At 41.3% G+C, this 9,595-nt stretch overlaps 1 long non-coding RNA gene across 1 annotated transcript; it reads right to left on the reverse strand.

The window, feature by feature from the left end:
• Positions 1-7,381: 7,381 nt before the first annotated feature.
• Positions 7,382-9,176, reverse strand: LOC101928628 (uncharacterized). Its single transcript, XR_241147.4, has 2 exons — positions 8,826-9,176; positions 7,382-7,782 (listed from the first exon to the last, which is right to left on the reverse strand). It is a non-coding gene; the product is annotated as an uncharacterized LOC101928628 (long non-coding RNA).
• Positions 9,177-9,595: the final 419 nt, after the last annotated feature.

Consider the following 9,595-nt stretch of genomic DNA (forward strand, 5'->3'; position numbering starts at 1 on the left):
CTCATTTCATGTTCTTTCAAGAAGAATACATATTTCATCTTTTTATTTTATACAGCAATTAGCACAGTGCCTGGCATAAGGAAAATGATCATTAAAAGCTGGGTGAAAAACCTAATAAAGCTACTGAGGATAGGAACTGCAGACCAGCATGGAAAGAAAACTATGAGCCAGATATTGACATCATCCTGAAAGGCAGAAGATTTAGTATAGGCAAGAAGTATGCTTTTGGAATATAGAAAATCTGGATTATGATAAGAAAAGAATCATATTTGTCTTATCTTACCTACTCACTTCTCAGTTCCACATGTTTCTGAGGCTGTTTGTCCTTACTTTCTTTTCTGTTTTATCCACTCTTTCTGTTCTTTAGATTGGATCATTCCTATTGAGCTGACATCAAGTTAACTGACCTTTTATTTTGTCCAAACTGCTGTTAAATGCATCCAGTGAATTTTTAACTTTATATAGTATATCTTTTAGTCCTAGAATTTCCACATGAGTTTTTTAAGTTTCCATTTCTCTGCTGAGATCTCCTATTTGTTCATTCATTATGACCATATTTTTCTCTACATTATTGAGCATAATTATAACAGCTCTTCTAAAATTCTTGTCTGCACATTCTAACACCTGAATTATTCTGGGGTCAGTCTCTGTTACATTGCCTTATTACAAAAACAGTATAAGTCACATTGCCTTGTTTCTTAATATGCAAAATGATTTTTGATTGCAGACTAGACATTTTGAATTAAACATTATAGAGATTCTGGATTCTCGAGAGAGTATTGACTTGTTTTTTCCATCAGGCAGGTAACTTGACTGGACTCAAACTCCAAACTCTAGGTCCTCTGTAATGGGCAACTGCAGTAATCTTTGTTTAGTTCTTTAAGACTTATTGGCCAGGCACGGGGGCTCATGCCTGCAATCCCAGCACTGTGGGAGGCCAAGGTGGGAGGATCACCTGAGGTCAGGAGTTCGAGACCAGCCTGGCCCACATGGTGAAACCCTGCCTCTACTAAAAATACAAAAATTAGCCGGGTGTGGTGGTGGGCGCCTGTAGTCCCAGCTACTCAGAAGGCTAAGGCAGAAGAATCACTTGAACCTGGAAGGCAGAGGTTGCAGTGAGCCGAGATTGTGCCACTATACTCCAGCCTGGGTGACAAAAGCGAGACTCCCTCTCAAAAAAAAATTTATTGGCACTGCTTGGCATCTGCTATGAATACATGAAGTTCATGGGTCAGCTATAGATCTGGGCACGTTATACACAGAATTTGGGTCTCCCTTTCTCTGGATTTCTCCTTTTCTGGATTTCTTTTCTCATTTTCCAGCAGCTGTGGTTGCCCTAAACTCGGTCCTCTGTTTCTTTACGGCAGTAAGATTTGGGAACTTTTAGGTTTTACCTGCCTCTCAGACAAAATAAAAAATAATTTTCATCTTGATGCTACTCCTTTCTTCCAGATGTAGACACCTCTCTAATTTCCAGTTGCTTTTTATTGCTCTCCAGAGTCTAAAGATTATCATTGTTTTCTGTGGGAGAGTTGGTCTGATAAAAACTACTCCCCCAAAACTGGAAGCTGGAAGCTTGTAATTATGAATAGACTTTGAGTAGTATTCTTCTTTGGAAAAGGATTTTAACTACTCCCTATGTACTTCTTTATTTCCTGTTTTTCTCATCCGTAATCTTTTTATTTTCATACTTCCTAAGTCAGACAATTTTCCTACTTGAAGATTCAGTGACTGCTATCAAATGACCCCCATATTACTAAATACAATATCCCCAACTGCATTTATAAAAAGAAAATTTACTGTTTATTAGTAAACAATGTTGTAGAATAGTAAAATATTGCTGGGCTTTGGAGCCAGATAATCAAGGTTAGAATCCCAGATTCTAACTTACTAGCTGGTGTATTAGTCCTTTCTCATGCTGCTAATAAAGACATACCCCAGACTGGGAGACTGGGTAATTTATGAAGAAAAGAGGTTTAATTGACTCACAGTTCAGCATGGCTGGGGAGGCCTTAGGAAACTTACAGTCATGGTGGCAGCAAGGAGAAGTTCCAAGCAAAGAGGGAAAAGCCCCTTATAAAACCATCTGATCTTATGAGAACTCACTCACTATCACGAGAACAGCATGAGGGTAACTGCCCTCACGTTTAATTACCTTCCACCAGTTCCCCCCCATGACACATGGGGATTATGAAAGCTATAATTCAAGATGAGATTTGGGTGGAGAAATAGCCAAACCATATAATTCCACCCCTGGCCCCTCTCAAATCTCATGTCCTCACATTTCAAAACTCAATCATGCCCTCCCAACTGTCCCCCAAGGTCTTAACTCATTCCAGCATTAAGTCAAAAATCCAAGTTCAAAGTCTCATCTGAGACAAGGCAAGTCCCTTCTGCCTATGAGCCTATAAAATCAAAAGCATGTTAGTTACTTCCTAGATACAGTGGGGGTACAGGCGTTGGGTAAATACACTGATTCCAAATGGGAGAAATTGCCAAAACAAAAGAGTTACAGACCCCATGCAAGTCCAAAACCCAATAGGGCAGTCATTAACATTAAAGTTCCAAAATGATCTCCTTTGACTTCATGTCTCACATCCAGGTCACACTGATGCAAGAGGTGGGCTTCCAATGGCCTTGGGCAGCTCTGCCCCTGTGGCTTTGCAGGGTATAGCCTGCTTCCTGTTTGCTTTTTCACAGGCTGACATTGAGTGTCTGTGGCTTTTCCATGAGTATGGTGCAAGCTGTTGGTGGATTTACCATTCTGGGGTCTGGGCCAGGTGCAGTGGCTCATGCCTGTAATCCCAGCACTTTGGGAGGCTGAGGTGGGGGATCACAAGGTCAGGAGATCGAGACCATCCTGGCTAACACGGTAAAACCCAGTCTCTGCTTAAAAAATACAAAAAATTAGCCAGGCGTGGTGGTGGGTGCCTGTAGTCCCAGATACTTGGGAGGCTGAGGCAGGAGAATGGCGTGAACCCAGGAGGTGGAGCTTGCAGCGAGCTGAGATTGTGCCACTGCACTCCAGCCTGGGCGACAGAGCAAGACTCCATCAAAAAAAAAAACAAAAAAACCATTCTGGGGTCTGGAGAATGGTAGCCCTTACAGCACCACCAGGCAGTGCCCCAGTGGGGACTCTGTGTGGGGGCTCTGACCCCACATTTCCCTTCTGCACGGCCCTAGTAGAGGTTCTCCATGAGGGTTCTACCCCTGCAGCAAACTTCTGCCTGGACATCCAGGCATTTCCATACATCCTCGGAAATCTAAGCCGCGGAGGTTCCCAAACTTCAATTCTTGACTCCTGTGCACCCACAGGCTCAATACCACATGTAAGCCACCAATGCTTGGTCAGGGCTTGAACCCTCTGAAGCAATGGCCTGAGCTGTACGTTGACACCTTTTAGCCTAGACATCTAGGACACAGGGCACCATGACCCGAAGCTTCATAAAGTGGGAGGGCCTTGGGACTAGCTGAGGAAACCATTTTTCCATCCTAGGCCTCCAGGCCTGTGATGGGAAGGGCAGCCATGAAGGTGCCTGACATGCCCTGGAGACGTTTTCCCCATTGTCTTGGTAACTAACATTCAGCTCCGTGTGCAGCACCAACTTACTTATGCAAATTTCTGTCACTGGTTTGAATTTCTCCCCAGAAAACAGGATTTTTCTTTTCTATTGCATCATCATGCTGCAAATTTTCAAACTTTTATGCTATGCTTCCTGTTGAAGACTTTGCGGCTTAGAAATTTCTTCCCCCAGATACCCAAAATTATCTCTCTCAAGTTCAAAGTTCCACAGATATCTAGGGGACAAAATGTTGCCAGTCTCTTTGCATAGCAAGAGTGACCTTTACTCCAGTTCCCAACAAGTTTCTCATCTCCATATGAGACCATCTCAGCTTGGACTTAGTTGTCCATGTTACTATCAACATTTTGGTCAAAGCCATTCAACAAGTCTCTATGAAGTTTCAAACTTCCCCATGTTTTCCTGTCTTCTAATAGCCCTCCAAATTTTTCCAACCTCTGTCTGTTACCCAGTTCTAAAGTCACTTCTACATTTTTGGGTATCTTTACAGCAGTGGCACTCCCCATGGTACTAATTTACTGTATTAGTCTGTTCTCATGCTGCTAATAAAGACTTACTCGAGACTGGGTAATTTATAAAGAACAGAGGTTCAACTGGCTCACAGTTCAGCATGGCTGGGAGGCCTCAGGAAACTTACAAACATGGTGGCAGCAAAGAGAAGTTCCAAGCAAAGAGGGAAAAGCCCCTTATAAAACCATCAGATCTTGTGAGAATTCACTATCATGAAAATAGCATGAGGGTAACTGCCCCCATGATTAATTTACCTCCCACAGGGTCCCTCCCATGACAGGTGGGGATTATGGGAACTACAATTCAAGATGAGATTTGGGTGGGGACACAGCCATACCATGCCAGCTAGAGAGCCTTAAGAAAGTCACCTAATCTCCACAAATAAAAGGTTTCCTATTTGTTCAACAAAAATAATGACACCCCTTTTATGGGATTTCTGTGAGGACAAATGATAACTAACATAGCCTTGCATAGTGTCTGGCACAAAATAGCTACTCAAAAAATAATAGAAACAACATTTAAAAAATGTAGACTTTATTTTTTAGAGTTTTATGTACAAAGCAAAATTGAGCAGAATGTACAGAGAGTTTCCGTATAGCACTCCCTACCCCCAAGCACAGATAGCCTCCCCCAGTATCAGCATCCCGCACCAGAGTGGTACATTTATTATAACTGATGAATCTATATTGACGTGTCATTTTCATCCAAAATCCATAGTTTATATTAGGGATGCCTCTTGGTGTTGTACCTTCTATGGGTTTTGACAAATGTATAATGACATGTATTCACCATTACAGTATCATAAAGAATAGTTTCACTGTCCTAAAAATCTTTGATCTTCTTCCTATTCATCACTCCCTCCCCATTAATCCCTGACAACTACTGCTAATTTTCCTGTCTCCATTGTTTTGTCTTTTCCTGAATGTCATATAGTTTAAATATACAGTATGTAGGATTTTCAAACTGGTTTATTTCACTTAGTAATATGCATTTGATGTTCTTCCATATCTTTTCAAAGCTTCATAGTTCAATATTTATAGAATTGAATAATATTCCATTGTCTGGATGTACTACAGTTTATGTATTCATTCACCTATCAAAGAACACCTTGGTTGCTTCCAAGTTTCAACAATCATGAGTAAAGCTGCTATAAACATCTATGTACATGTTTTTTTGTGAATTGAACATTTTCAGCTTTTTTAGCTCCATTCCTAGGAGTGCAATTGCTGGATTGTATGATAAGGGTATGTTTAGTGTTGTAAGAAACTGCCACGCTCTTCCTAACTGGATGTACTGTTTTGCATTCTCACCAGCAATGAAAGAGTTCCTGTTGCTCCACATACTCACCAGCATTTGGTGTCGTCAATGTTTTGAGCAATAGCATTTTGATCTAACTTTTCCTAGGTATTCTTTTTGAAGGAAATAATATGACAGATAATAGAGAAAGGATATACGAGGACAGTTCTGTCCTTTATTTATAGTCCATCATTTAATGAAGGACTCTGTCCACACTTGGTATTTTTAACTCTGATCCTCCTCTCCCATGAACTCTGACAATCTCCTAAATCCCTGTTGCTGGCACACATGGTTGTGTATCAGGCCCCCTGTGGTCTGTCTGAAGCATGGCTTTTTTTTTTTTTTTTTTTTTTTTTTTGAGACGGAGTCTCGCTCTGTCGCCCAGGCTGGAGTGCAGTGGCGCGATCTCGGCTCACTGCAAGCTCCGCCTCCCGGGTTCACGCCATTCTCCTGCCTCAGCCTCCCGAGTAGCTGGGACTACAGGCGCCCGCCACCACGCCTGGCTAATTTTTTGTATTTTTAGTAGAGGCGGGGTTTCACTGTGTTAGCCAGGATGGTCTCGATCTCCTGACCTTGTGATCCGCCCGCCTCTGCCTCCCAAAGTGCTGGGATTACAGGCGTGAGCCACCGCGCCCGGCCTTTTTTTTTTTTTTTTTTTTTTTTTGAGATGGAGTCTGTCACTCTGTCACCCAGGCTGGTGCAGTGATGCAATCTTGGCTCACTACAACCTCCATCTTTCAGGTTCAAGTGATTCTGCCACCTCAGCCTCCCAAGTACCTGGGATTACAGGTGCCCGCCACCACACCCAGCTATTTTTTTGTATTTTTAGTAGAGACGTAGTTTCACCATGTTGGCCAGGCTGGTCTCATTCCTGACCTTGAGTGATCCACCTGCCTTGGCCTCCCAAAGTGCTGGGATTACAGGCATGGGTCATCACATGTGGCCTGAAGCATGACTGTTGCTTTAATCATATGAAATACTGCTCTGTATTGTTATCTATTTGAAATGCCACACCTCCTGAGCTAAATTGCAAGCTTTTATGGAGCACAAACCATATTTATATATATTAGCATGATACCATGACACATATCAAAAGCTGTTATATATTGTTACGTGAATTGATTCTTTCTCAGTTAAGAGGACCTCTGTAGTAGCACTTTCATACCGTTAATTTTTCATTTTGTGCCCAGCCCCTACTCTGTGAAAAATGAAATGAATCCTGTTATCATTTCCCTCCCAGGCCTTTTCTCCTTGTGGACAATGTGTGGCTCAAGAGAAAATTCAGTCAGTAAATTTGTTCAGTGCACAAACTCTTTATCACCTCTCACTGTTCTCAAGTGAGATAGAACAGAACATCCATCCAGTGTCTTACAAATTGTCTGGTATATAGTAGGCACTCAATAAATGTTTTTTGAATAAATGCATACATGAATCCTATTCCTATATATAGTATGGTAGACAGATCATTGATACCCAAAGATGCCCAAATGCTGATCCCCAGAACTTGTGAATATGTTACATTTCATGTCAAAAGGGACTTTGCTAATGTGATTAAGGATTCAGACCCTTGGATTGTAAGATTATCCCGGATTAACCAGGGCCAATCTAATCACATGAGACCTTAAAAAAGCAGAAAACATTTCCCAGCTGGGTTAGAGAGAGATGAGACAGAGTAAAAAGGAAAGAGATTCAGGGCATGAAAATGACTCTACCCACTGTTGCTGGCTTTGAAGATAGAGGAACTAGGCCACAAAACAAGGAGTATGAGTGGCCTTAAGAAATAGGAAAAAGCCCTCATCTGACAGCCAGCTAGAAAGCAGTCCTCTGACCACAAGAAATTGGATTCTGCCAACCACTCAAATGAGCAAGGAAATGGATTCTCCCCTAGAACCTCCAGAAAGGAACACAGCTCTGTAATGCCTTGATTTTAGCCAGGTGAGACCTGTTTCAGACTTTTGACCTATGGAAATATAAGATAATAAAGTTTTATTGTATGCTGCTAAATTTGCGGTAGTTTATTACTGAAGCAATGGAAAGCCAATACAGACAGAATATACAGAGAGAAAGAGAATGAGTTCTTTCCTGATAATTTGTAAATATTTGGGTCTTCACTGGACAAGCTTCACAGAGGATTCACTGGTTCCCTAGCAAACCAGCATGTCCAGTCCTGCAGCCTCCCTTTCTTAGGCCCAGCATATGTCAGCTGTGTGCATAGAAAAATCAAAGCAGGACCCTGAGTAGTTGGAAAGAAAAGATGGTTGGAAATGGGTTGCACTTCAAGTGAGGAAACAAGAGGTAGGAGACCGGCATCTCTTTCTCATATGTCCCAGGCTGACTCTTGTGAGTTGTTTTCCCTTGGAGGCTATCGATGACAGTCACAGTAACCTGATGGAACCTGGATCATGATGAAAGAAGTAAGTGTCAATGGCTCCGACTTCCAAGGACTCTGATGTCCCACAGCACTAGCTAAACAAAGCCAGTTGGAAATGAGCTTAAATGGGGAATTTCCTGAATATATTCCCTATTGTTAGGAAGCCAGGTTGGCTTCCTTGCCTACAATTATGCCAAGCAGTCACACTATAGAGTCCCTAGGGACATGATATTAAGTGATTCTTTTAACACAAACAACTTAATAATCATTTATACTAATAGCAAAACGGCCAACGGCTGATATTCCACTTGAAGTAGAATTGGCTATCCAACTGGAAGAGAAGACAGGAAGACGTGATCTCCAGGGAGCCACTAAAAGGATTGGCACCTGCCTCTGGATTCCCCTTTTCCTTATATTACCTCTCAGCACTGGCAGGCCTTTATTTCAGGATACAGTTTCACAAGTATTATGTCACGTCTCTGAGAATTATGTTGGTAGATATTTGCTCCTCTGGCCAGAAAGACCTAGTTTGGAGTCTGGAGTCATGAAGGTGACATACATGTAGCTAGTGACATAAGTGTAGCTAGTAAAAATAGTGAGTAATGGCCCTGAAATTCTATTGAATGCCCAAAGTGCTGACCAGGAACAAGCATGCTCTAGCTTATCTCACAAGGAACTTGACAATTTTCTTCAAAAATCCTAGTAGCTAAGATTTCTTAGTAACAAAGCCACTAAGGCACAATTATGATTAACTTGACCCTTAGGTGACTTTTAAGGACTATTCTATAAAATATTACAACTAATAGTGGATCCAAGCCAGCACACTCTGCTATATAAGATTAATTGACAGTGTCCACACTGGTAAAATAAGTTGTTTCATAAATACATTAGAATTCATTTGCACTTTCTACACAGCCCCAAGTCCAGAACTTTCCCCAGAATAGGTCTATGTTTTGCAATCTGCTACTCCATACAGAGATTTGAGTTCACTTGGCAATTTAGTGCTGCTTATATGTGACCAGTTAGTCTGTTTTACTTATCTATGCCTTAAACATTACTATACTTACTAACTCCAAGATGCCTGGTCTCAACTTGACAAAAATACCCCAAGTTGGGAAATCCTTATGTGAATATGTAGATAGTCACAATTGCTGGTTGATGATGATCTGTCTTTTCCTGTATTTGAGAAAATGGAGATAAAATGGACCAATCCAAATAATGGATTAAACATGGGAATAGGTGAGAGAGAGAGAGGAATACATGGTGGCTCTCAGTGTCTGGCTTAGGCAGTAAACACTTTCGTTAATAAAGACGGAAAATAAAAAAGGAATAATTGGTGTCTAGGGGAAAATAATGAGCTCAAGTTTTAACACTCTGAGTTCCCGGATGTGAGACATCCAGGCGCATTTATCCAAGAGGCAGTTGGAAGCAACGTTCCGGAGCTTAGGAGAGAGGCATGACCAAAAGCTGGTGGGACTGTGAAAAGGTATGGCCATTCTGGAAAACTGTTTGGCAGTTTCTTAGAAAATTAAACATGTACTAACAACCCAGCAATTGTACTCTTGAGCATTTGTCCCAGATAAATGAAAAAAAAAAAAAGCATTTTTTTTACACAAAAACATATACATGAAAGTTCATAGAAGTGTTATTCATAAAAAACTGGAAAAAACTGAGATGTCTTTATTGAGTGAATGCTTAGGCAAACGGTGGTCTATCCATACAATGGAATTATGCTTAGCAATAAAGAGAAAAGAACTATTGATACATGCAATAACACAGATGAATCTCAAAGGAATTAATGCTGAGTGGGAAAAAAAGCACATCTCAAAATGGTATA

This window comes from Homo sapiens, chromosome 1 (genome assembly GCF_000001405.40).
Source record: "Homo sapiens chromosome 1, GRCh38.p14 Primary Assembly".
Lineage (NCBI taxonomy): Eukaryota > Metazoa > Chordata > Mammalia > Primates > Hominidae > Homo > Homo sapiens.